This window comes from Homo sapiens, chromosome 7 (genome assembly GCF_000001405.40).
Source record: "Homo sapiens chromosome 7, GRCh38.p14 Primary Assembly".
NCBI classification, from domain to species: domain Eukaryota; kingdom Metazoa; phylum Chordata; class Mammalia; order Primates; family Hominidae; genus Homo; species Homo sapiens.
The window spans coordinates 87,194,930-87,221,993 of NC_000007.14; the positions used below are offsets into that span (position 1 = coordinate 87,194,930).

Genomic DNA, 27,064 nt, shown 5'->3' on the forward strand with positions numbered 1-27,064 from the left:
TAGTCCTGTTGAGTTCTACACTGTGGTAGAATACCTTAAATTCTTGACATGGATTAGAGAATAAATATATACATTTAAGACTAACTTGAAACTCATTACAGATCCCATACTCCAACATCATCAGGAAGAATCAAATATCATTGGATCATCCTTGGGCAGTCCTGTTTCAGAAGATTCAAAGGATGTCGAAGATTTGGTAAACTGTCATTAGAATAATTCTTAGAAATAGGCAGTTCAAGCAAAGAAGGCACACTGTTAATTACAACCTCTTCAAAGAAATAGGAGCAACCCCCAAGAGGCTTAATTTACCAATTTAAATAGCCACAGTCCTTAAGCCACACACATTGTTGCTGCTATGACTTTTTACCTCCTTTAAACACATCATCTGAGGTTGAGTTTTATGACAGTATGTAGTTGAGTGGAGGCTGGGAGTTTTAAGCATAAATCCCTGTTTAGTGTTACATGGGAATAAGGAATTTCATTCACTTCAGCCACTAAGAAAAGTTTAGAATCACGAAAGCTTAACTGCTGTGGTTTAAAGTACAGTTTCTCTAAAGATCAGACATGGCACTGTCTCCTCTCAAGCCTGGTTGTAGTTCAGATGAGTCTTTTCAACATGGTCTTCAACATGGTCTAGAGCTTACCAGTGATCTTCTGATCTTCAAGAAGACTAAGTTTGAGACTTGACCAGCATACAAGTATAGAGACCTAGGAGGTGGTCTTGTGGTGGTACATTTGGTTAACCCATTGCTGGCAGTGGGAGCTGATTTAGGCAGGGTAAACAGGAAAGCATTAAAAGTTAAAATTCACTACAGGTTTTTTGTTACTTTTAAAGGGAATATGGATAAGCATAGTAACAAAACCCACCAGAATCTAAGCAGTTTTCACCCCCTCAGAAACCACTGTCATTAGTTTACAAAGTTAGCACTTTGAAGTAAAACTAAATGAGGAAGGAAGTAATGTTACCTATCCTTGATACCATGACCATTTATTAGATGTTTTGCTATATAAATTACCGAGAGAATAGTTTGTCATCCACTTAGTGTGTTAGCTGGTGGGGTACAATATAACCTCTCATCTCAGGCTATTTTAAAAAAACAATATTTGCTTCTATAACAAAAGGAAACAAATCTAAGAATCATTCCTGTACTACAGAAGGGTTAAGGCAAAGGTAGCCTTTTGGGCTTTTTAATGAATATGACCCCTATAGAAAAGTCAAGAAAAAAAAACCCTTGTATAAATTATTTTATTTATTATTGTAATTAGATCTTCACAAAGTTGTCTTTTCACTGTGTTTTGTCAACGTGAAATTAAATTGTAGTTATAAGCAAAAGTTGGTTGCCTAGGGAACAATTGTATATTCAGTTTAACAGAAATAAAAGAATATTTGTCTTAAGATGCAAGATTTGTTTTTACATAGCCTTTTGCCATACAATTATAAAAATTTCATTTCAAAAGTGAAATTTTTTTGTGCTGTTTTAGCTTTAAGGGTTGGAATGTTTAGGTGCAACATCAGCTCCTTAAAGAAAAAGCAAAGTGATCTAGGATATGTCTCCCTTGCAAGAGGGAATTAACATTTACAATTAACATGAAAATCATGTATCAGACTTCTGCAGGAGATTCTTCAGCATACCTTATCCAAAAATTACTCACTGTCCTAATGTATCATTTTGAAGAGTCCTGGTAAGTACTTCTCCTTGGCAGCCTCACCTTCCCACATCATGGAAGTACAGGTTTGCACATATACACAACATGATGATAGAAAATATGATATAGTAAATTAGCTTTCTAAATTTCGGTTCTAAGTCTCCTTGTCGATACCAGTAGATCTAAAAGAAGAATTAAAGTTTATAAATTAAAATTTGAAATATAACATTTTCTCTACCAATTTCAAATTTCATTAGTATTTGTTTATTCCCCTAAATGAGACAGACATTCTCCATATTCTGAGGTCTCTACATTCCTGAGATCAGTACAGCCAGAATTTAATTCTTACTCTGAGTTTCCACATCCAAGATCATACTTATTCCTACTTTCTCAGTTTACTTTCCTCTATATTCACACCTGTATACTCCACCAGTCATCTGGCAAGCTATCCAAGAACATATACCTGGGCATACTACTTAACAGGAAAGGAAGACAACATTTAGACTCATGATTCATACAGTTGGTTCAGACCGTAAAATAGGGCTTCCATAATATATTTGGATTAAACTAGTTCATTGTCTGTTAGTCACTTTAGGCTTCAAGCTAGGGGAACAGGAAAGCTCCCAAAGTGGGATGGGCTAGTTCTTCTTCGGGTCATGGGAGTATATAGCAGGATCAGTGAATGAGAACACTTGGAGGTGTCTCCTGGTTTAATTAATTTTAACTCAGATAAGCAAATTACTATTGTTTTTTCTTTTGATTCTGCCTCTAAAGGAACATGAAACAATGTAGCCAACTAATGAATGAACACTGAGGAGCCACCACCATCTTTGTTTCTTCACCATAAAAGAAACATTTGCAGTAAATCAAACATTTTTACAACAACTGCAGCTTTAGATTTCCCAGGAGGTTTTGGTGTTAATACCTCCATTTTGGGAAACAAACATGTAGATTAAACTAATTTTGTAATAATTAGAATTAAATCCAGAGTGCTCTATCTCTTCCCTTAGCAGTAACTGGCATTTCCCAAAGACTGTTGGCCCTTACGTAGTCCTTGAGTGAAGATGAATTAAGTAAATTAAAATCTTTGGCCACCTACGTCTTTCCACTAATTTTTTTTTTTTTTTTTTTTTTTTTTTTAAGCTATCAAGGGAGTGGAATTTCTCTTTGGGGTTACAACTTTGGGATTTAGGAGAAAAGGAGAAGACTCAGATTTTATTGAGAATTCTAACATACTTTTAGGGGGAGGATGAGGATATAATTAAGAGATACCCTTTTGTATAGACCCAAGGCTGAAAATTTTTGTCCTGTGCATTGCAACTTAAACCCTCAAGAACACTGTTTAAATTCTCAACAGTACTTACAAGTATGCAGGCAGTAATACTACTCAAAGAGATGCAGACAGCAAAGAATATATTCAACGGTTTTGGAGGTAGTTGAGGGAAAACAAAAGCACTTATCAGCGTTACCTGTATGAAGAGAAATTATGTAAGGCCTTAACAGTAATTCCAAGACTTGGTAATTACCAACTGGAGTCTAGGCAACAGTACTACAAAATGCTTCATGTTATAAAATTACATCTGCCACCAAGTTTGCTTTCTAGAATGTTAATACAGTAATTATAAATATGTTCGAGTTATTTTAGTACTTCTTTTCTAAACTTTCCCTTACTTATGAAAGGAGAGAAAACATCAGTAATACTAGCTGATGCCAAAATAACTTCATTAACTAAACCTCACTCCCAGGATTAATGATTCTGCTGGTAAAAGTTCTAGCCATTTTGTTATTTTAAATATTTCTAGCAAAATGAATATAATCAAAGCTGGTTTTGCTATAACATTATGAAACACACTGAAAGACTTCTAATGTTGTATAGTTCTGTTTCTAACAGATGCAGCATTATATGCAATCTTTTCATTAAGAAGCCATGGAAAAAAATTCTCTTAAATTTAATGTGCCAGAAAAATGTCAAACTATGGAAAATACAGCTTTTAAAAATTTTATTGTAATAGCTCCCAGATGTATACTGTATACAGGATGTATACAGTACAACTACTATACACTGTGACCAAATCTTTTAAAACTTGACCAAAGGGTAATGGATATGTTCTTCAGGAACAAAATAGAAATGGGGAATTATGGTAGATGACAGAAGGAAGTGGCTACTAGCCACTGACATTTTTACAAATTTACTAGGCAAAACATGGTAAACTCAATTATCTTAAAACGAAGTTGTCTGACTTGTACCATTTCACATATTCAACCTGGGGGTGGGGCAGAATTAAATTAGCTACTCCAATTAGCAACTGCAATTTTGTGGTAATAAAATTAAAAGCACTTATTTAGCTTTTTTTGGAAAGTTAACCATAATTGATAAAGTTTTCAAAACTGGCTAAGAGCCTGGGTGAGGCACAAAATGAGGATACTTACTAGAATCAATAAGGATGTTAAGCTGCCAACAACTAAATTGATGATTCGATCCTGAAAGAGAAAAGAATTTTTAAGCCATATGACTTGGATCCATGTTACCTTCAGTATAGTACAATGCAAGGCATTTGGATGGTTTACTATAAAGAAACCCAAGATCCAGTCCTCTGAGCTTTACACATAAAACTACCAGACAAAGCAAAGTGTACTGAACCATAAGAGTGGAAAATGTACTTTGGGAAAATGGCCAACTGGGGAAGGTTTCTTGAAGGGACAGAACATTTATACTAGAGTCTTGATTGGGTAGTATCAAATGGGTAAGGGAGGCTTACAAATAATGCATGTGCTGCTGAGGATAGCATAAGCCAAAGGAGAAGGACAGGCACTGCAGGAATGGCCAGGCCAGAGCATTGGTTAAAGGTATCAGGAACCGGACTAGATGTAGAGTACCATGATGTGTCTGGAACTATATTTGTAATACAGCTTAGGTATCCTTGTCTAGTCTAAAAATAGATGCTACTGTTAAAAGGGATGGGTCCTAGAGTGCCAAGGCTTGGCACTTGCAATCTTAAGAGACCATCCAGTCCAGTAGTTTTTCCAAGTTATTTAATAGTGAAGGGCTTTAGTATATAAACAAAATATTGGTTGAATGAAGAACCTACCTACTGAGCTTTCTTGTCATTCCCATCCCACCCCAACCAACAAAGAATGTTTGAAAAACTGATCCAATCCTAATTTTACAGGTTAAACTAAATTTAGGCCCAGTGTGGTTAAATTATTTTCTAAGAGTCATAACAAGTTAGAAGCAATTTTGAAACCAGAGATTCCTAAATCCAGGTCACTGGTTAGAAGTAGTTTCAGGTACTACTAAAAAGGTAAAGTATGATAGTGACATGCAGTCTTATTTCTGAGAAGTCAAAGCTGAGTCTTTAACGAATCAGTCGTCTTAAATGTTGTTTTGATAATGGTCTGAGCAGAGAATGGCAGGATATGGAACATGCCGCCAATAAACAAAACCTCAGAGATGGGAAGGACACAGGAACAATCACAGAGCAGCAACCGAATTCTCATTTCCAAGTAGTCGCCTTTTAAGGATAAGAACCCACAGAAGTTAAGAGTCAGGCAAAATTGGGAGGGAAAGAGTAAGAAAGCCAAGTATTGGATGTGTGTGATCTAACCAAGGACAAATCACAACTCTCCAGACCAAGGCCACTGCAACTGAAAGGTTACAGAACAAAAGATACTGGACTCCAGCCACACCCTAACTCCAGAGGACTCAGAAGAGATCTTACCACGACCTCAGCTAGAGAAGCCTACACAGCACACAGGAGCCTGAACTTAGGACCACTTTGTTAGGAAAGGGACCCAGGGACAAGTCACCACTCACTTTAACTTCTTCCCACATGGGACAACATAAAATGTGTAGAGAGACAAAATCCATGGGAGCCCCACTATTTTTGAGAAGCAAGAATATCTGCTGCTCTCTGAGCGCCAGGGATTTCCAAAATGAAGCACTGCATACCTCATAACAGCTCCCACCAATAGAAGTCAAGCCAATATATCACTAATTGCCAAATGACACACAGCAAGTTGCCTACCAGGATCAAAGTAGGAGAAAAATAATGGTAAAAGGATATTAACTATGCCAAGCACATTCACCAATCCTCTCTTTAAAAATTCTAGGATGAAATGGTAATATGACTGTTTCACAGGTAGCAAAACAGGCTCAGGGAAACTGAGAACTTTCCCAAGATCTCAATACCATTAAGTGATAAAGACAAGATTCAGTGCCAGGCCTCCTTTCCCTATTTATGCTTCTCACCCAAAGAACAACCTAGAGTGCTAGTGCTGGTCTAGACAAAGATGTCAAGTGGCAGATGACACCTCAAAAAGCCTATTAGCAAAGTACTACACTGTGCTTACCTTTCAAGAATGATTTCCTCATGGGTGACTTTGTTCCACATTTTTGGATTTCTCCATATAACTGATTTTAATCATCCTGATGAAAATATATCTAAACTTTAATGAATACTTTCCTGCCTACCTTTTAGATAGTCACTGAACAGAATTCCAACAGATTTTCATGAATATCAGTTATTGTTATAATGTAGTGGTCCCCTCTGGGATTCCCAAGATGGGATGAACTATTTCGGACATGGCAGAAGTGTTTCTCAGAATATTTTCTTTCTCCAAGCCAAGGCCTTCTATCAACCATGAATTCAGGTATGCAGAGTTAACTTCAGAAGCCCTCCTACTTCTAATGCTCTCTGTTTTAAACTTGCTACTCAAAGTGTAGTCTATGAACCAGCACATCGGCCTCACCTGAGAGAACTGCAAGAAATGCAGAATCTTAGGCCTCACTGAGACCAACTGAATCAGAATCTGCGTTTTAACAGGATCTGGTAATTTATGTGCACATTTAAAATGGAGAGGCTGTGCTCTAAAGTTTAGTCTAAAATAAGCCATTTTTAAATATTAAGTTCAAATCACAGGGTACAGCTCCTTCCCTGGGCCTAGAGATTATTTTTCAGGGTTTTAGCAGCTCTTCTAGCTCCCAATCTCCAAAGAGGATAATAGAGAATAATTAAATAGCTAGTTAATTAACACTTCAAAGGACAGTTTGGGGAATAATATGCTCCAAATTGGAGCTAGAGTACATGGAGAAAAGTGAGTAATACATTTAAACTTTGCTGTTTATGGAGTAAATTGAAACTCATTATTTCTACTTCTACAGCTAGTCTCTATTAACTCAATTATTTCTCACAGAAACTAGCTCTGTCTCCTCCCCAGTTTTATTTTCACTCTAGTTCTACCTACCATAACTTGTCTCTCCTACCAGAATTTTAAACCTTGTACTGTGGCTTATTTTCACTCCACAAGGAAGCTTGACAGGACAAAGGATGGCAATTAGCCTGGATCCTTGCCTGCTGAGAGGACAGGATACAGATTTAGGATTTCCTTCCCAGAGACAAAATATTCTGCAACAGGTTTAGAGATAGTCTGAATTCATATATACATGAACATAAAGACAGACGTTGTGTGCATACATACATGTATATATATAGTTGAGATTTCACCTATATCATCTTGTAAGTCATATATTTATGCATTTAAACATTATCTACTATAATTCAGATGCAAATACAAAAGTGAATAAAAACATCTCTACCTTCCAGAAGTTTACACTATCCAGAGTTCAGGAGGGCACTAAGAAGACAGAAAGTGAGCTATCTTGGACAGTCAAGGAGAGACTACCAGAGAAGTCAAAACCCTGAGGAAGACTAGCAGATGAAAAGGAAAGGAAAGATGGTTCATGAAAGGAATTCCACAAAGACCCATGGGAGAACAAAAGCATTGCTGTTACAAAAAATCAATGGGACAAATGGAGATTGTTGACCAAGTTTCATGAGAGCTGAGAGGAAAAGAGCTGGAATGCAATGCACAGTGAAGAGCCTGGGCCTGACGGATTCATGTCTTTGTCTTCCTTTAGAATGAGGAAGGAGAAAAAGATGGAGATATATGCAACTGGTTTGTATCTGGAATGGTGGAAAGCAAGTAAGGAGTGTTATCTCTATTTACCAATGGGTAACTAGGTTCCAGAAGACTGACTTGCCAAAGGTCACACGGCTAGGTAATGGCAAAAAATCTCCTATCCAATGCTGTTCACAAAAGACAAGTGTAATGAACAGTTCAAAAGGTCTAACAGTCCTAAAACTAATAAATACAGACCTTAACACGGTCTAGAAACCAAGGTTCTCATCTCATTCTGCCACTAGCTAGCTTCGTAACCTCAAAAGGATTCCTTAACCCATTTGACTCTATCAAATGAGAAGACTGGGCTAAATGATACCTGGTCCCTTTCAGTTCTTACACTTTATGGTTCTGAATCACCAGACTGCACTTGGGCCAGAGAAGGACTAATCCCCTAGTGATTAAAAGCCAGAGAACCCCTATACTTGCCTGGTCAGTCATTAGCCAGCATCTGCTAGAGAAACTAAAACTCAAATGATCAGGTGGTAACAATGGCCCTGGGAGGAAACTGGCAATAACATCCCAAATAACCAAAAGCTAGCTCTGCCCTCAGCTCCTCAGCTCCCTGGAAATATCCTGGTTCTAAACAGTTTGGAATGCTTACAAGCGACATTGTATTCAGCCTTCCATTTCCATGGCAATGTTTTGCCTACTTCCAAAATGAATTTCAAGGGCATGTGCTACTATAATAAAACCCTAACCTAACTAACCAACAATAAAAAGACCAAGACAAAATTTCGAAAAGGCTTTGGGGAATGGTGGAATGGGGGGGAAAAAAAGCTAAAGAATCTACAAAGGCCAGGCATGGTGGCTCACACCTGTAATCCCAGCACTTTGGGAGGCCAAGGTGGGAGGATCACTTGAGTTCAGGGATTCAAGACTAACCTGAGAAAAATACTGAGACCTTGTATCTACAAAAAAAATATAAAAATTATCTGGGTTTGATGACATGTGCCTGTAGTCTCAGCTACTTGGGAGGCTGAGGTGGGAGGATCACTTGAGTCCAGGAGGTCAAGAGTGCAGTGAGCAAGGATCACGCCACTGCACTCCAGCCTGGACAGAATGAGAATCTTAAAAAAAAAAAAAAAAATTGTCTTAAAAAACATTTCTCATTTAAACGCAAATGTTTGTATGAAGATTTCTGACAGCCAAGTGGGAAGTACAACAGAATTTTAAGTTCTAACTAATAATAAAAGTAAGCATACTGGATAGAGTCAAAATTCTCCTGGCTCTAAAAAGAATTTGTCCCATGGGTCAGAACAAATCTAGGTACACAGAAAATATAGATAATTCATACACAATCATTTCTTATATTGGTCCATAAAAAAATCCCAAAGGCATAATGTCAACTCATTTCCCAAAAAAGCAAGCTCTGGCATGGTTAAAATGCTACTCCCAATTTTGACTACTCATCTGTATTAGTTTCCACACTGCTGATAAAGACATACCCAAAACCAGGTAGTTTGTAAAGAAAAAGAGATTTAATGGACTCACAGTTCCACATAGCTGAGGTAGCCTCACAATCATGGCATACAGTGATAGGCACGTCTTACATGATGGCAGGCAAGAGAGAAAATGAGAGCCAAGCAAAAGGGGAAACCCCTTATAAAATCATCAGATCTTGTGAGACTCATTCACTACTACGAGAACAGTATGGGGGAAACCGTCCCCATGATTCAGTCATCTCCCACCAGGTCCCTCCCACAACACATGGGAATTATGGGAGCTACAATTCAGGAGGAGATTTGGGTGGAGACACGGCCAAACCACACAATTTCATCCCTGGCCCCTCCCAAATCTCATGTCCTCACATTTCAAAACCAATCATGCCTTTGCAACAGTCCCCCAAAGTCTTAACTCATTTCAGCATTAACTCAAAAGTCCACAGTCTGAAGTCTCATCTGAGACAAGTCCACCTATGAGTCTGTAAAATCAAAAGCATGTTAGTTACTTCCTAGATAAAATGGGGGTACGGGCATTGAGTAAATACACACATTCCAAATCAGAAAAACTGGCCAAAATAAAGGGGCTACAGGCCCCATGCAAATCCAAAAACCAGCAGGGCAGTCAATTTTTAAAGCTCCAATGTCTCACATCCAGGTCATGCTGATGCAAGAGGTAGGTTCCCATGGTCTTGGGTGGCTCTGCCCCTGTGGCTTTGCAGGGTACAGCCTCCCTCCCAGCTGCTTTTACAGGCTGGCCTTGAGTGTCTGTGGCTTTTCCAGGCACATGGAGCAAGTTTCGGTGAATCTACCATTCTGGCATCTGGAGGATGGTGGCCTTCTCACAGCTCCACTAGGCAATGCCCCATGGGGACTCTGTATGGGAGCTTCAACCCCACATTTCCCTTCCTTGCTGCCCTAGCAGAGGTTCTCCATGAGGGCCCTGGCCCTGCAGCAACCTCTGCCTGGACATCCAGGTGTTTCTGTATGTCCTCTAAAATCTAGGCAAAGGTTCCCAAACCTCAATTCTTGACTTCTGCGCACCTGCGGACCCAGCACCACATAGAAGTTGCCATGTGCAGCTCTGAAGTCATGCCCTGAGCTGTACCTTGGCCCCTTTTAGCCATGGCTAGAGCTGCTGGGACACAGAGCACCAAGTCCCTAAGCGGCATACAGCAGAGGGGGGCCTGGGCCCAGCCCACAAAACCATTTTATCCTCCTAGGCCTCTAGGCCTGTGATGGGAGGGGCTGCCTCAAAGGTCTCTGACATGGCCTGGAGACATTTTCCCCATTGTCTTGGGGATTAACATTTGGCTCCTCTTACTTGTGCAAATTTCCACAGCTGACTTAGATTTCTCCTCAGGATTTTTTTTTTTTTTCTATTGCATTGTCAGGCTGCAAGTTTTCTCCTTAGGAATTTTTTTTGTTCTATTGTACTGTCAGGCTGCAAATTTTCCAAACTTTTATGCTGTGTTTCCCTTTTAAAACTTAATGCTTTTAACAGCACCTAAGTCACCTCTTGAATGCTTTGCTGCTTAGAAATTTCTTCTGCCAGATACCCTAACTCATCTCCCTCAAGTTCAAAGTTCCACAAATCTCTAGGGCTGGGGCAAAGTGCCACCAGTCTCTTTGCTAAAACATAACAAGAGTCACCTTTACTCCAGTTCCCAACAAGTTCTTCATCTCCATCTGAGACCACCTCAGCGTGAACCTTATTGTCCATATCACTATCAGCATTTGGTCAAAACCAATCAACAAGTCTCTAGGAAGGAAACTTTCCCACATCTTCCTGTCTTGTGAGCCCTCCAAGTCTCTAGGAAGTGCCAAACTTTTCCTATCTTCTTCTGAGCCCTCCAAACTGTTCCAACCTGCCTGTTACCCAGTTCCAAAGTTGCTTCCACATTCTCGGGTATCTTTACAGCAGCACCCCACTCCTGGTACCAATTTATGTATTAGCCCGTTTTCACACTGCTGATAAAGACATACCTGAGACTGGGTAATTTATAAAGAAAAAGAGATTTAATGGACTCACAGTTTCAAGTGGCAGAAGGCAAAAGATAACGTCTTACATGGTGGCAGGCAAGAGAGAAAATGAGAGCCAAGCAAAAGGGGCTTCCCCTTATAAAATCATCAGATCTCATGAGACTTATTCACTACCACAAGAACAGTATGGGGGAAACTGCCCCCATGATTCAATTATCTCCCACCGGGTCCCTCCCACAACACGTGGGAATTATGGGAGCTAAAATTCAAGATGACATTTGGGTGAGGACACAGGCAAACCATATCATCATCCTTCAGAACTCAACACTATCAACTTCACTGTAAATCCTTTCTGGACACCACCCTGGGCACCTCCCCTCAGAGCACCCACATCACTTTGCTCAGTCTTTACACTTAACTGCATCAAAATGTATTGCTTGTGTCCCACACTGGCATTTAATGATGGGAAAGACAGTCTACAAGTAGTCCCCCTTACCGGCAGGGGATACACTCCAAGACCACCAGTGGATGCCTGAAACCACAAATAGTACCAAACCCTATACATACTGTTTTTTCAATCAGATAACAGAGATGGCTACTAAGTGACTAACAGGCAGGTAGCATCTACTGGACAAAGGGATGATTCACATCCCCAGCAGGAGCAGGACAGAGTGAGAGTTAATCATATTACATAGAACAGTGCACAGTTTAAAACTTACAAATTATTTCTGAAGTTTTCCATTTAATATTTTTGGACCATGGCTGACCACAGGTAACTGAAGCCTAGAAAAGTGAAGCTGTGAATTAGTGGGAACTACTACACTTGTTTTCCTTCTTGACAGTGTGGCACACTGTAAGCACTCAATGAATGTTCGTTAAATGAAAGACTCAAAGCAGAAATGGCCAACGGTATTTTCTTTAGAATGCCTCTCACCAGTAGAGACCATTCATCTCATCTTACCACTTAGGGCCTGGCCTATCAATAGGAACATAATGTGCCTCACTGCTGCAGGGCAGGCATGCAATGGCACCACAGAAGCTGTGGCCTGATCCTGCAGACCAACAGGTCACGGTCTGCCAGCCACAAAGGTGCAACACCCTAACAGATACCTCCCAGGCTAGGCTCTGTTGTTCCCAAAGAAATATCAATGGTAAACAATGGGGATCTCTGAGGTCCACGTTTTCCTGAGTAGAAGCCCAGTTACTTTCTGCTAGGGCAGGACCAAGGACTGATTTATAAGGCATCACAGCTCTGAACTCCAGCTGACAAATCAATCCTTCGGCAATGCTCCCCAACACTCCCAGAGAGGGGCAAGGCAAAACAGAGAAAAGTCTTTGCAGAAAAGCAAAAGCCGGCCGGGCGCGGTGGCTCACGCTTGTAATCCCAGCACTTTGGGAGGCCGAGGCGGGCGGATCACGAGGTCAGGAGTTCGAGACCATCCTGGCTAACACGGTGAAACCCCGTCTCTACTAAAAATACAAAAAAATTAGCCGGGCGTGGTGGCGGGCGCCTGTAGTCCCAGCTACTCGGGAGGCTGAGGCAGGAGAATGGCGTGAACCTGGGAGGCGGAGCTTGCAGTGAGCCGAGATTGCGCCACTGCACTCCCACCTGGGCCACAGAGCGAGACTCCGTCTCAAAAAAAAAAAAAGAAAAGCAAAAGCCTGGATGGACAATGCCATGAAGACATTCCCTACTACATTCTTGAGGGAGAAGGCAGGGTAGAGGGTGGAGGAAGATTGAGAACTCCATTTTTGGTGTTACTTCTAAACTTTCTATGTGATTCTACAAAAGTCTTTCTCCTCAGACAGCATCGCAGGGAGTCCTATAGACCCACATCCCTTACCAGGTGCTCAATCCGATTTCCAGGTTAGACCTCACACCTTCAAGTGTCCTCCTCTGTCAGACATCCTACCCCTGGGAAGCTGTTCCACATGAGCAAACTGCATCCTAACAGAGCTCATGCCCCTGTGTACTCAGCCAGAGCTCATGAGACTTATTTACCACCACGAGAACAGTATGGGGGAAACCAACCCCATGATTCAATCATCTCCCACCGGGTCCCTCCCACAACACATGGGAATTATGGGAGCTACAATTCAGGAGGAGATTTGGGTAGAGACACAGCCAAACCATATAATTTCATCCCTGGCCCCTCCCAAATCTCATGTCCTCACATTTCAAAACCAATCATGCCTTTGCAGCAGTCCCTAAAGTCTTAACTTATTTCAGCATTAACTCAAAAGTCCACAGTCTGAAGTCTCATCTGAGACAAGTCCACCTATGAGTCTGTAAAATCAAAAGCAAGTTAGTTACTTCCTAGATACAATGGGAGTATAGGCATTGGGTAAATACACACATTCCAAAATCAGAAAAACTGGCCAAAACAAAGGGGCTACAGGCCCCATGCAAATCCAAAAACCAGCAGGGCAGTCAATTTTTAAAGCTCCAATGTCTCATATCCAGGTCATGCTGATGCAAGAGGTAGGTTCCCATGGTTTTGGGCGGCTCTGCCCCTGTGCTTTTCAGGGTACAATTCTGATACTTTCTTTGAAAACCCAGCTCCAGGTCACCCCCAAACCTCCAACCACTTCTAGATACCAGCAATAGGCCTTGCTCTGAAGTCTTTAAGCTATCCTAACTACAAATGTCAGTTTACTCCTCTGTCTCTTCCTCTACCTTGGAAGGTCTGGGAAGGTAAGGACCATGTCTTCCTTGTTCACTGTTGAATTTTGGGCCACCGTATATGGCTATATAGCTGAAGTTCAGCCCAATGTTGCACTTTCCAAGTTTTGCAGCCTGGCATCAGCCTGCATCTACCCAGAGGCAACAGCACATTTTTCTAATTCAGACAAAGCCAAGCCACATGTTTTTGAGGGCTCCCACTACCCAGGGTGTAAATACTCTAACGATTGTACAAAGGTGCCACCGTATGGCTGGGTGATGGCCCTGGCCATATCCCTCTGCCAACCACGATGGCTAGCAGGAGAGATAATCAATATTAGTTGAAATAACACACTAACTGGGCTTACTACAAACTCATGTTTTCTATCCTCACCTGGGCCTTCACTGTATTTCCATGGCCTCTTATTTTGGGTGGACTGCCCCTGCTTCTCTCTGGGAAGTGGTTTGAAGCTCCAGCTTTCCTCAGGTTCCCAGTCCTACCCTTGAAGCCTTTACATCCATTCTCACACTACTAGAAAGAACTACCTGAGACTGGGTAATTTATAAAGAAAAGAGGTTTAACTGAATAACAGTTCCACATGGCTGGGGAGACCTCAGGAAACTTACAATCATGGTGGAATGTGAAGGGGAAGCAAGCTACATATTACATGGCAGCATGAGGGGGTGGGAAAGGGTGGGAATGAGGGAGACTGGGGAGAAGAGGTTGAGAGGGGGGAAGAAGAGGGGAAGAGAGAGAGGTGGGAGAGAGACAAAGACATAGTGAATGAGAGAGCGAGAGTGAAAGAGAGTGAGACAGAGATTGAGACAGTGAGACAGACAGAGTGAGACAGAGAGTGAGATAGTGAGAGAGAGAGAGAGAGAGTGAGAAAGACAGTGAGAGAGAGAGTGAGAGAGAAAGTGAGAGACAATGAGAGAGACAATGAGAGAGAGACAGTGAGAGAGACAGTGAGACAGTGAGAGAGAGAGAGACAGAGAGAGAGACTGAGATAGAGAGCGAGAGAGACAGTGAGAGACAGAGCGAGAGAGAGCGAGAGCGAGACACAGCGAGAGAGCGAGACACAGTGAGAGCGAGACACAGTGAGAGCGAGACACAGTGAGAGCGAGACACAGAGCGAGACAGTGAGAGCGAGACAGAGCGAGACAGTGAGAGCGAGACAGAGCGAGAGACAGTGAGAGAGCGAGAGACAGTGAGAGAGAGACAGTGAGAGCGAGAGAGAGAGAGAGCAAGAGACAGTGAGAGCGTGAGAGACAGTGAGAGAGTGAGAGACAGAGAGAGAGGACAGTGAGAGAGAAACAGGAGGGGGACAGAGAGACAGAGGAGGGGGAGGGGGGACAGAGAGAGAGACAGAGGAGAGGGAGGGGGGACAGAGAGAGAGGAGGGGGAGGAGGTGACAGAGAGACAGAGGAGGGGAAGGGGGGACAGATGGGGAGGGCGGGAGCGGGGAAGCGTGTGGGAGCGGGGAACTGCCACATGCATTTAAACCATCTGATGTCATGAGAACTCGTTCATGAGACAGCACTGGGGGATGGTGCTAAACCATTAGAAACTGCCCCCATGACCTGATCACGTCCCTCCCTGCCCCTCAACATGTGGAGATTACAATTTGACATGAGATTTGGGTAAGGACACAGCCAAACCATGTCATTCAGCCCCTGGGCCCTCCGAAACCTCATGTCCTTCTCACATTTCAAAACCAATCATGCCTTCCCAACAGTCCCCCCGAAGTCTTAACTCATTCCAGCATTAACTCAAAAGTCCAAGTCCAAAGTCTCATCTGAGACAAGGCAAGTCCCTTCCACCTATGAGCCTGTAAAATCAAAAACAAGTTAGTTACTTCCAAGATACAATGGGGGTTACAGGCATTGGGTAAACAGACCCATTCCAAAAGGGAGAAATCAGCCAAAATGAAGGGGCTACAGGCCCCATGCAAGTCTAAAACCCAGCAGGGCAGTCATTAAGTCTTAAAGCTCCAAAATAACCTCCTTTGGCTCTATGTTTCACATCTAGGCCACACTAATGCAAGGAGTGGGCTCCTAAGGCCTTGAGCAACTCCACATGGCCCTGTGGTTCTGCAGGGTACAGCCCCCACAGCTGCTTTCACAGGCTGGCGCTGAGTGTCTGTGGCTTTTCCAGGCATACAATGCAATCCATAACGGCTCCCCCTTGCAGCAGACTTCTGGACATCCAAGCATTTCCATACATCCTCTGAAATCTAGGCGGAGGCTCCCAAACTCTTGCCTTCTGTGCACCCACAGACCCAACAGCACGTGGAAGCCACCAAGGTTTGGGGCTTGGACCCTCTTAAGCAACAGCTCAAGCTATATCTTGGCCCCTTTTAGCCACAGCTGGAGCTGGAGCAGCTGTGACACAGGGCACTGGAGTCCAGGACCTGATCCACAAAACCATTTTTCCTTGACAGGCCTCAGGGCCTGTAGTGTGGGGGCTGCTGTGAAGCTCTCTGAAATTCCCTGGGGACATTTTCCCCATTGTCTTACCTATTAACATTCAGCTCCTCAACTGCATCTCATTATTGGGCCACCAGAAATAGCAGCCTGACCCTCAGTTTGGTCTAGGAACAATACCTCCAGGCACTTTGTTCTTCCTTTTATAAAAGGCTCAATCCCATTTTATACTCATCCCTTACCCTCCCTACCCACGAGTTCCTCAGGCCACTGAAGACAGTGATTGTCTTCTCCTGGGATGGGGAAAGAGCAAGGCAACACATTGAGCAGGTATTAAATGCCCAAAGGGTGCTACTTCCTACCATTGTTTACCTGGACTGAGTGATTCAGACCCTTGAGCCACATCCTACAATTTTGCCTCCAAAGTTCTGCATTTCTCAAGCAAACTTAAGGGTCCCAATACCATAAATAAAAGTTTGATTCTCAGAAATGACTTTGCTTCTCTTCTTCCAAATCACAACTTCTCACCATGAAAGCTGTGTAAGTGGCCCAGTCAGAAGCCTAAGGGGCCAGGAAAAAGCATAACGAGAGGATGCAAAATGTGGGAGAAGGTTTATTTTGAGCCCAGCTGAATAAAGAAACCTCAGGCCCTGTGTCCAGGGATTTAATATGGGTCCCTCAGAGCAGCATGGCTCTGACTGTACAGGAGCTTCCCCTTGCACTGTCACTAGAGACAACCGGAGGTATAGCAGCCACACAGGTGGAAAGCAAGGAGACATTCTGTCTCACTGGCTAACTCTAGGACGCCGCGAATTATGACCCATAGGTACTACTGCTCTGAGACTTCCCAAAGCAACACCAGACTTTGAACAGTGCCGAGAGCACGGGATGTGCAAGAGAAAGCATTTATGAGAATTTGGGCACACCCACCCTTTACAACTTTTACACTCGATTCTCTCCCAAACACATGACCTCCACTGCTACATGTGGACCTGTATTTTAAAAGTTACAACTTTTAAGCCTTAGTTTTCATATTTGTACAATGTCTACCATGTGAAGTCGTAATAAGGATTAGAAGAGAATACATAGAAAGCCCCTACAAGAGAGTATCTGACATTCAGTAGAGGGTCAGTAAATGGCAGCTAATATGGTATTTGCACTATTTATACCATGTCTAAGGGGGAATCTTACCAATGAGAGATCAGGCTCCTCAGAGCTGAGAGAGCTGAGCTGGCTTCACACCCTGGCCCCAATTTCTATGGCAGCTCCAATTTCAAATGCATTCCACCATTCTCACAGGGACACTGAGGTTTATCCACCCATATGTCCCTTCAGCAACTCAGAAAATATGGTCACTATACCCATACATAGCCTATGAGCCAACTATAAGAAAAAAGTGACTCAATTCAGTAAGCAAAGGATATTACCAAAGACCAGCAAAAATCACATCCAGAGAAAACTCAGTAGACCATCAGCTTCTGAGAGACCAGACCTCAGTTTAAGTTTTTTTTAATACAATATTTTATTTACTACTGGCCTCTGCTACATACAACTTAGCAGAAAGAAAAAGAGAAAAATGATTTTAATTGCATGAGAGCTTGAAGCACCATTTCCTGTTTTGATATCTAGCATATCCAGGTTTCTAAACAGTCCCTGCCTTCTACTGTGAGCTCAGAATGTCCCAAGAATGTAGGTTACTTTTTGATAACGCTAAATTCTCACTTTGCTTAAAACTTAATATACATGAAATCAAGAACTTGGTAAGTCATTGTCCCTAGGGCTAAAAAGGCTACAAAAATGAGGAAACTGGCACCTACCATTAAAGAAGAGCTTATTCTATAGTTAGGAGGCAAGACCTACACAAGTCCCTCACAGCACAAGGAGTAAGTGCCAGGGCACATCTTTGACAGCCAGGCTCACAGAAGGAAAGTGAGAAGAGACTGGATTACAGGGAAGGTTCTAAAGTAGGGAATCAGACTGAGCAGAATTCAGATATTTAGAGAAGAGAGGACACAGCAGAAAGGAGAACGACATTTATGAAGAGCAAAGAGGCAGCTAAAAGAAGGGGTCCATGGAGAGGTATTAGCCTGGACTGGGCTTACACACAGCAAGAGTAAGGCCAGTGCATCTCAACCCTTCCTATGCACCAGCATCCCCTGAGGACCTTCCAGAAATACCAGTGCCTAGGCCCCACACCCAGAGATTACAGTCCACTGATCTAGGGGTGGAAGAGAGAAAACTTAGAGTACTAAAGAAAAAGTGATGGCATTTATTTTTCTTAATTACTTTTCTAGCACACACAAAAAAAGGCAAAGTTGTTTTGGCAGGCTGAATGAGAGGAGAGGAGAGAACTGTTTCACCTTTGGGTGACTAACCCTCCTTTGAGAGAAATAGCTGTGCTTGATCACCTAGAAGCTCTATCTAGAGGAAATAAACTAAAGCCTGCACTCCTCAGAGAATAGCATTGGTAGCTCTAAGACAGAGGAAGGGGCTGCTGGCACAGACCCAGCTATCTTAATCATAGCTTTATTCTTTTTCTCTTCTTTGCATTTTTAAAAATTATTTTATTACCATCCCTACTGATCCTTGTTCTTAAATAAGCGACAACAAAAATGGCATGAAGTAGCAACTCTAATCTTACATGATTATTTGCAGAGGCCAAATGCTCCAAGTTTGAATTGCTTGACTAACACTAATCATAAAAAGCCCTTGCTTTTCACCGTCTTTGTTTTCTTCTTTTTTTTTTTATTGGGGGGATGGGGATAAAGGAAGATACTTTTGTCTTTGGAACCAAAGATCTGAGCCTCAGAGCCCACTACACTTGCCCCCTCCACAGAGGGCCTCCCTCTCACTATGGTATCTACTGAGGAATTCAGTGTATGTACCTTCTCCCCAAATCATTGACTTTATATATCACATCCAAGAAGGAATAAAGGAGCAAGAACTGTCACCACCCTTCTTAGAGGATGAGTCACTTATTTTGTGATCAGTGACCACCCACAGAGTGGGCTGATTTAGAAACTCGTTTGCACTACATGGCACCAAGTGGAGAGTGTTCCTTCTTTTCCCATTTGCCCTAGCTATGGGATGCTGCTTTGCTTTCTCGAGAAAACCATTCTCTCCCTCTCCTCCTAGTTTCACCAGTCTAGATGGACTGAAACTGACTTCAGATGATACCACAGCCAGCTAATAAGTTGAGATCAAGACTGACTCGCAAGCCCTGAGAATAATTTAGTGCTCTTCTAACACAAGACAGTGGGAAAGACTGTCCAAACTGTGTACTAAAGCTTGTACTAAAGAAAACTTTTAAAGGTAGTTGTGGGCAGAAGAGGGGAGGACATTTTCAGGTTTTAGTTTACCCTAGGGGGCAGGATGGGAGGGAAAAGCAGAGGAAGGCGATTCATTGAACCATGTTTCCCAAAGTATATTCTGCAGAAACGTATCTAGTGAATGCTCTAGGGAGCTGGAGTTAAGAATTGAGTAAGGCGTTGTGCTAGGGCTAAAAAGGCCACACCACCTAAACAGTTTATAAAGTGCTACTCATCCACCCTCACCAACTATAGTCACAATGAAAATTGGCATATTAAAGCTTCCAAAGTCCCACAACAAAGAAAAATGTTTCACAAACTTGGTTATGGAATCACCATAACATTTCAGCTGCTTTAAAACTAAGCTGTCTGAAATGGTTGGGTATCCCTTATCCAAAATGCTTGGGACCAGAAGCGTTTCTGATTTCAGATATTTTTTCGGGCTTTGGAATATTTACATATACATAGTGAGATCTTGGGGTGGGACACAAGTCTAAGCACAAAATTTGTTTCATATACACCTTACACACATAGCCTGGAAGACAATTTTATATTTTTAAAATTTTTGTGCATGAAATGAAGTTTGTGTTAAGTACTTTTGTGTGGAAATTCCCACTTGTAGCATCAAGTCAGTGCTCAGGAAGTTTTGGATTTTGGAGCATTTCGGATTTTGGATTTGGGACATCGCCTGTACTAGCCATACGTGGTAACTGAGCATCTGAAACATGGCTAGCGTGAATTCAGATGGGCTGTTAATGTAAAATACATACTGGATTTCAAAGACTTCATACAAAAAAATTGTAAAAGTATCTCAGTTTGTTTTCTGTTTGAGATAGAGTCTTGTTCTGTCACCCAGGCTGGAGTTCAGTGGTGCGAGCCTGCAGCTGGGACCACAGGTGGGTGCCACCATGCCCAGCTAATTTTTTGTGTGTGTGTGACAGGATCTCATTTTGTTGCTCAGGCTGGTTTCAAAATCCTGGGCTCAAGTGATTCTCCCACCTCAGCCTCCCAAAGTGCTGGGATTACAGGCCTGAGCCACCATGCCTAGTTTAAAATTTTTTTTTAAATATTGATTATATGTTGAAATGATAGTATTAATATTTTGGAAATAAGGGGTTAAATAAAATTATTAATATTTCACTTGTTTCTTTATACTTTTTCATATGGCTACTAAGAAATGTAAATTACATATATGGCTGCTCACATCATATTTCTACTGGACAGCACTCTTTTAGAAAATGCTAAGCCATAACACAGGCTTGGAAACTTCAGATATTTCTTATCATCTTGGTATCTGTGCCATATTTTTCACCTGAAAGAGAAGTACTATAGCACAAAACTTGGGAATGGTTCAAAAAAGATGTAAAAAGCATCTGGGCATTCAAACTAGGATTCATAAGATAGCCAACCTAACATGAAAATTCCATAGGTATCAAGGAATGAGGTCTATGTTTCTTACAAAAGATGAACACCTTTCGTTTTTTGTCTTGTCAATAATCCCTAGGACAGGCACGATGGCTCAAGCTTATAATCTCAGAACTTTGAGAGGCTGAGGTGGGAGGATCGCTTGAGGCCACTAGTTTGAGACCAGCCTGAGCAATACAGGAAGCCCCATCTCTACAACAAATTAAAAAGGGCCAGGCGTGGTGGCTCACGCCTGTAATCCCAGCACTTTGGGAGGCCGAGGCGGGCAGATCACAAGGTCAGGAGATCGAGACCATCCTGGCTAACACGGTGAAACCCCCATCTCAACTAAAAATACAAAAAAAAATTAGCCAGGTGTGGTGGTGGGTGCCTGTAGTCCCAGCTGCTTGGGAAGCTGAGGCAGGAGAATGGCATGAACCTGGGAGGCGGAGCTTGCAGTGAGCCGAGATTGCACCACTGCACTCCAGCCTGGGCAACAGAGTGAGACTCCGTCTCAAAAAAAAAAAAAAAAAAAAAAGTTAGCCAGGCTTGGTAGAAGGCGCCTATAGTCCCAGCTACTCAGGAGGCTGAAGTGGGGGAATTGCTTGAGCCCAGGAGGTCGAGACTGCAGTGAACCGTGGTCAGGCCACTGCACTCCGATATGAGTTACAAAGTGAGACACTGCCTCAAAGACAAAAAAATCCCTTAGATATTTATGGAACAATAGAGAACTGTTTCACTTTGCCTTTCTCTCCATGACTATGTCTGTAAAGCTATTCCTAAATAGGAATAACTTAGAATGAACAATTTTCATGCTAAAGATTGAACAAATTTCAGTAACTGAAATCACTATGTGCACTCAGCACCCATAAAGGCAAAAAAAGTTCCTTCAGGGATTCCCCAAGAGGGTGCTGCTCAAGGCCAACTTAGTTATATATTAATAGTCATTGTTCTATAATAGATTTCATTATCCCTCACTCACCTCACGACTTGGGGCAAACCACTTCAACCCCTATTTTCTGTGAAAGGGCAACAGGTATGCAGATGTCTGGAGCACTTTGAGAAGCAAAAACTGCCTAATTACTGACTTCACTATTCAACTCATGAAAGGGAGTTAGTGAAGCATTACCAGAGGAAACTACTTGTATGACTGAACACGTAACTGTCTCTGAGGGTTCCACTTCCTTAGTTGTATAACAGAAATAAGAACACCCATCTCACAAAGGAATTTGATGATCAAACAAGGGAAAGCTGAATGCCCACCATGTTGCCTGGCACTGAGGAAACACAAACATACTCTAGACTCTTCTCTGCTCTTTGAGCTTCAGTTCTCTTTGCCTTAGAGCTTGCACCTAAAGTTGAGAGGCTATATGTGTCCGTTCTCATAAAGCAAGTAAGATTACAAAATGCAAAGGAAACCACCTGTGAGACTAGGATAGGAACTGGGCTTTTATTCTTTCTCGATGTTCTCAGAACTTGTAGTTCACTAACAGCAAGTTTCCACTGTGAAGTGGCTATTGTGTCGTTTCCTGGCATGTAAAACAGCAAGCTGCAGACACCCACACACAAGAGCAAGGGATGGGTTTCTCAGTGTCCCCAGGATCCTGCTCTAGCAGTTGCTGCCTCTGTGGAAATGGCTCCACTGTAATGTGTCCTACCCTTTCACTATTGAGGCTCCATTCCTGGGCCTTACCCTCCTCAGGCCCTCAAATCTTCATTTGCTGTGAACACATATGGAGGCCTCTCCTCTCTCAGATGTGGCATCTCCATTTATAAGATACATGTTTTCTCCCACCTCAGACCAGGGGTCTCTCTCCCTTCTCCATTCTGTAGAATTTATCTATGTCCAATCACCCTGTCAACTTCACAGAGGGAGCTAAAGGGAGAAATTTTGAGAGATCAGGAATTAATATATATTAACTTTTTTCTCTGAATAGCTGAAGCTATTATTACAATGCCCTAAAGTTTCCTAAATAATCCCAGTGTGATATATTCTTGTAGTAAGTAAGTACGCAATAAAAGATACATTTGGAATAATAAAGTTCTTGAATGGGTTTCAAATGGATCATGGGCAATAGGAAACTGAAATCATTGGACGTTTTGGCCCAAGCTGTTCAGAAAACATCAATATTTCTAAGTGTTTGCATAAATGGACAAGTCCATTACACCAAGTCATCTACCTCTATAATTACAAGAGCTATGAGTTAAAAGAGGTCAAAGGTCTGGATCACCCAGAACCCCAATCTATGTGCTGAAGCACGCTGGGGAGGCACTCTCTTAGTTCTTGGGACAGATGGACAAATTTCTCATACAAAAGCAACCAGTTCTTGTCTGTACCCTAACATGTCCCTGTCGTAGCACAGATCCAACCACATCACATTTGTCTACGTTTTTTTTCTCCACCTGACAGGGTTCCTTGGCTCCCCAGGGCCAAGTACATAATGGTCAATAAAGTTTGCCTAAGATGGAACATCTACTGGAGGAGGAATGCGTCTCAAACCAGGAGCACTGTGGGCTGGGATTATACAAAGCCACAAGATGAACAAGGTGCATCTTCCTGGAGATCGAGTTTAAAACGCTTTCATATTAAAACATTTTGAGAAGAGAAAGTAAAATCCACGTGGAGTTTAAAAAATAAAGTAGTCCTGTGGCAGCCTCTTAGCTTCCAAATTCAGGGCTATTCCCCAGACTGCCAGGTGTACCACTTCCCTATCCTATCTGCTGGAGGGCTCCTGCCAAAACTAAGAAATCCCGGAAGCTCTGGACTCTACACGTGCATTACCTTTGGAGAGTTGAAAGCACTTTATCAGAGGTCAAAGACCACCAATGCCACTTTTTTTTTTTTTTCCTTCTTTTAGGCCAGTCAAGTGAAGCAGGGAGATTGGAGAAGGAGCAAAGAAATCTGTAACGGGCTATGATCAATTAGTTGTCAACACCACTGCACTGGGACCAGCCAACCAATGCCACTTTTAGATGAAAAAATAAACCAGGCAGATCTTGCCCAAACTACTCAGAAAGTTAATGCTGACGATAGAAAAAGATCTCTCCTCAATTGTTGGCCCAAGACATCACATAATTAATCCTTTTTAAAAGGTGTTAAACATTTTAAAGCCTAGAATAACGTATGGTAGCCTGTTCAGGTTCAGGGACCCCTTGATCACTTCCTGGAATGGAGGCCATCATTCAAGAATCCCTCACCTCAAGCCTCTCCCCTTTCCTTGCTTGGCTGCTTCACTGCTCAGCAATGAACCCTTATGAGTTCTATGTAAACAGGAATCAGAAGCACCCCTTCTCGGCTCTCTCAGGAAGCTCTGGGCGCACACCTGAAGTCTCTGGAGGGTCAGTACTCCTGCTGGAGGTGCAGCTGTACAACCACTAAATCAACCTCCCCTCCGGAGGGGGTTCCCGCACTCCCCAGAAGGGCTTCCAACAACCCCGAACTTTCTGAACTTTTCTCCACTCCAGCCTTCAAGGCTCTTAGCCAACCATGTCCCAAAGCAGGCGACGATTGGCCGGGCAAACATCTTGAGAGGGAAGTGGGATTGCAGAACCAGCTTCCTCCCTAAAAGTGCTTTTAGGAGCCGCAGAAAGACGCAGCCCGGACTCCGCCAGAGGGCAGGCAGCAGACACACCCCCCATCCCAGTCTGGAGTCACAATCCGCACTCACCTTGGCGGACGTCTCCCCAAACAGAGGTCTGTTGTCCAGGCCACTGGTGCCGTAGGTCCTGGTAGCAAAGTCCTCCATTTTGGGGTTTCTTCACTTTCCCCAAGCCACTTAAAAGCAAGACAGCATGACCTCCCGAGGTCTCAGGTCCACGACTGCAAGCCTCCTCCTCACGGCTCCCGCATAGCCGAACCCGAGTGGTCGGGGAAGCGCTGGCGCCAGGGATGGGTGGGGGCTCACACGCGGGGAACGCGACTGCTCCGCCCCGGCCCCGCGCACCTCCTCATCTTGAGCAGCTGCCGCAGGAAGTGAAAGGAAACAAACACTGCGTGGCAGACTCTCAGCGGGACGCCCCCGCCCGGGCAGCTCCCACTTCCTCAAATCTCAGCCCTTGGCGCCGCGTGGCTCTCCGCCCCTCTGGGCCGCCAGGGTAGCGCCGCCCGCCGCTCGCCCCCGGCTAGCACAGCAAATCGCAGTCCCCTCGCCCCGGGAGAGACTCCCACACGTCGCCCCCCATTTTTACACAATAATTTCCCATGTTTTCCCAATTTTCTACGGTAAGCACGTATTCCTTCATGTTCAAGGGAGAAAAAGTTTTCTTGGAAGAACGCATTGAGAACCCCTCGCCTAGCCTTCTGCGTCTCCCCCACTACGTTCCCCAGTGGCGGCGGGAGGAGTGAAGTTGCCGGAGCACAGCCCAGCGCTCCGCACACCCCTCCCGCAGGGCGGCGGGTTCAGGTCGCTGCCGGGGCCGACCCAAGCAACTTGGATTCCCTCTCATGTGTTGCATCTACCCCAGGGCCGGCGTGCTCGCCGCAGCTCCCGCCGCTGCTCTCCCCGCGCTCTCTGCCGGAACTGCAGCAGGAGTACGGTCTAGGCACAGCGAGAGGGAGAATCCCGCCTCGGCCCTGCCCATATTGGTCCCGCGCCCGCCAAACCTCGGCATCCCCTAGGCGCTCGCACGCTGGGGGGCCCTGGCCGCGCCGGGGAGAGTGGGCCCTGGGTCCACACCCCCGCCGGGATCCGGTGCCGAGGCCCAGGAACGCGGGCCAGATGCGTGGGAGAGGAATCGCGCGGTCCCGTCGCAGCGCTGCGGATCACCTCCCGGCTCCTTCTCAGGTCCCCCGACCCGGACCCGCTGCCTCCGTCGCAAGTCGGCCCGCCCAGGTCGCGTCACGACCGAGGCCGCCAATCCCGCGGGCCAAGGCGCCGCATTGGCTGCGGAGCTTTATTTCTAGAGGTGCCAGCTTATTCCCCGTGGGGCGGCCAATCTCCGCGGCTGCACGTTTCTCAGCTCCTTAGCCCTTAGTAATTAGTGTCCATGCGATCCACGTGGGCAAAGCACATTTCTGCAGATAGCCTTGCACCTGGCTGAAAGCATCTTAAAAACAATCAACCTGCTTTAACCACCTCAGTCTTCGCTTAACGAGGACAGAATGGCAGTCACTGGTAATTTTGGTTTAGGGTTGTTCGCATGTTTGCCTTGATTTGTTCTGTGACAGGGATCTTATGTGTTTATAGAAAGTCAGGAGGCGACAGTGCTAGATACTTATTTGACTTGTCCACTCATGCCGCCAGTGATGGTGCTGACTAAGCAAGTTTGCAGCTGTGGAGCCAGCGCTTCGCATACCAATCTCGTCTTCCAGGCTCTAGGGCATAGACAACTGGAGGTGGACAGGTCGTTAAAAGTAACAACGTCACTCTGCATTTCGAATCATGGATAAATATACAGCCACGCTGGATTCTCAGGGCACTATAGCGCCGAGACTGAAGAGAGCTCTGAAAACGTTTGTGTGCAGGGAGGATCTGGGTTGGAACGTTGTACCCACACAACATTTAGAATCCAAGCCATGATTCCCGGCGTCCACTCAACAGTTTAGGACACGGGATGGACTACAAACCATGTAGATACATAGATCTGGAATTTGCAACACTGAGCAGGATTAGTACGGTGCATATCTGACCTACAAGTTATATATTTTACAAATCATGTTTGTTTGCTCAGGACTTTCTGATAAAACAGCAATGCTACGCAATCCTGCACCCAGTTATCTTAGAAGATTGAATGGCGGTACAAATAACTTTATTCACTCACATTCAGCCACATTCAACAAAATACTTTTGAGAATCTGCTATGTACCAGACAACTACCAGACATGGTAATATAGTGGTGAAGACACAGGCATAGTCATAGTCTTGAAGCTAGAGTGGAAAACAGAGATGCATAATTAGAATCTAGAGAAAAGAGATACGGTGGCTAAGAGCACAAGCTTTGAGGTTGATCGTTTCTGCCTTCAAACCCTGATGCCACCATTGACAAGCTATGTGATCTTAGACAAGTTATCTAACCTCTCTTGATCTCCTTCATATGTAAAAAGTGAAGATCATAATAATAAGTGGAACTATAGTATATACGTTTAACTGTTTTTTTAAAAGTAATAAAGAATATATAAGACACCAACAAATAGTAAGTATCCAAATGGTGGCTGTCATAAATGGTGACAAGTGCTGTGAACTGGACACAATGGAATGCTATGGAGATACATGGGAGGAAACCCACTAGCTTCAGGT

At 43.6% G+C, this 27,064-nt stretch overlaps 2 protein-coding genes and 1 long non-coding RNA gene across 63 annotated transcripts in view, besides 6 other annotated features; 2 read left to right on the forward strand and 1 right to left on the reverse strand.

The window, feature by feature from the left end:
* The window catches only part of DMTF1 (cyclin D binding myb like transcription factor 1), a 43,873-nt gene extending 42,477 nt beyond the window's left edge, over positions 1-1,396 (forward strand). For all 53 annotated transcript variants that reach the window (NR_024549.2, NR_024550.2, XM_047421106.1 and 50 more), the window contains one exon: positions 102-1,396. Coding sequence is in view for 51 of the 53 variants with exons in the window: in XM_047421106.1 (XP_047277062.1) it covers positions 102-211 (110 nt within the window). In the remaining 2 variants the exon portion in view is untranslated. The remainder of the gene's footprint in view (positions 1-101) is intronic.
* On the reverse strand, positions 1,231-25,658 carry TMEM243 (transmembrane protein 243). 9 transcript variants are annotated; one of them, NM_001329473.2, is made up of 5 exons: positions 25,505-25,610; positions 24,497-24,789; positions 4,078-4,128; positions 3,012-3,116; positions 1,231-1,829 (listed from the first exon to the last, which is right to left on the reverse strand). In NM_001329473.2, the coding sequence occupies exons 2-5, from the start codon at positions 24,572-24,574 to the stop codon at positions 1,707-1,709; spliced, it is 357 nt and encodes a 118-aa protein (NP_001316402.1). In that variant the 5' UTR covers positions 24,575-24,789; positions 25,505-25,610; the 3' UTR covers positions 1,231-1,706. The 9 variants fall into 9 exon arrangements, 8 of the variants coding, with proteins under 8 accessions (NP_001316402.1, NP_001316403.1, NP_001316404.1 ...); NM_001329474.2 differs by having other exon boundaries at positions 25,432-25,610; NM_001329475.2 differs by having other exon boundaries at positions 25,288-25,610.
* On the forward strand, positions 2,789-7,825 carry LOC105375384 (uncharacterized). Its single transcript, XR_927722.3, has 2 exons — positions 2,789-6,297; positions 7,251-7,825. It is a non-coding gene; the product is annotated as an uncharacterized LOC105375384 (long non-coding RNA).
* Positions 6,734-7,271: an enhancer, noted in NCBI's record as "NANOG hESC enhancer chr7:86830979-86831516 (GRCh37/hg19 assembly coordinates)". NCBI's record gives its function as "activates a minimal SCP1, AML or CMV promoter by ChIP-STARR-seq in primed H9 embryonic stem cells {active_cell/tissue: H9 hESC(primed)}" and the evidence as "EXISTENCE:reporter gene assay evidence [ECO:0000049][PMID:30033119]".
* Positions 17,733-17,782: an enhancer, noted in NCBI's record as "active region_26228". NCBI's record gives its function as "activates an Ori minimal core promoter by ATAC-STARR-seq in GM12878 lymphoblastoid cells {active_cell/tissue: GM12878}" and the evidence as "EXISTENCE:reporter gene assay evidence [ECO:0000049][PMID:35858748]".
* Positions 21,686-21,805: an enhancer, noted in NCBI's record as "active region_26229". NCBI's record gives its function as "activates an Ori minimal core promoter by ATAC-STARR-seq in GM12878 lymphoblastoid cells {active_cell/tissue: GM12878}" and the evidence as "EXISTENCE:reporter gene assay evidence [ECO:0000049][PMID:35858748]".
* Positions 24,194-24,253: an enhancer, noted in NCBI's record as "active region_26230". NCBI's record gives its function as "activates an Ori minimal core promoter by ATAC-STARR-seq in GM12878 lymphoblastoid cells {active_cell/tissue: GM12878}" and the evidence as "EXISTENCE:reporter gene assay evidence [ECO:0000049][PMID:35858748]".
* Positions 24,924-25,013: a silencer, noted in NCBI's record as "silent region_18344". NCBI's record gives its function as "represses an Ori minimal core promoter by ATAC-STARR-seq in GM12878 lymphoblastoid cells {active_cell/tissue: GM12878}" and the evidence as "EXISTENCE:reporter gene assay evidence [ECO:0000049][PMID:35858748]".
* Positions 25,364-25,643: a silencer, noted in NCBI's record as "silent region_18345". NCBI's record gives its function as "represses an Ori minimal core promoter by ATAC-STARR-seq in GM12878 lymphoblastoid cells {active_cell/tissue: GM12878}" and the evidence as "EXISTENCE:reporter gene assay evidence [ECO:0000049][PMID:35858748]".

Bases quoted from the DNA above. Each gene is read 5' to 3' on its own strand.
- TMEM243 (XM_005250586.4), bottom strand. From the start codon at position 24,574: ATGGAGGACTTTGCTACCAGGACCTACGGCACCAGTGGCCTGGACAAC. The intron at 4,129-24,496 runs GTGAGTGCGGAT...TTTCTCTTTCAG, and splicing joins TTGGGGAGACGTCCGCCAAG to GATCGAATCATCAATTTAGT. The intron at 3,117-4,077 runs GTAAGTATCCTC...CTCTTCATACAG, and splicing joins TAACATCCTTATTGATTCTA to GTAACGCTGATAAGTGCTTT.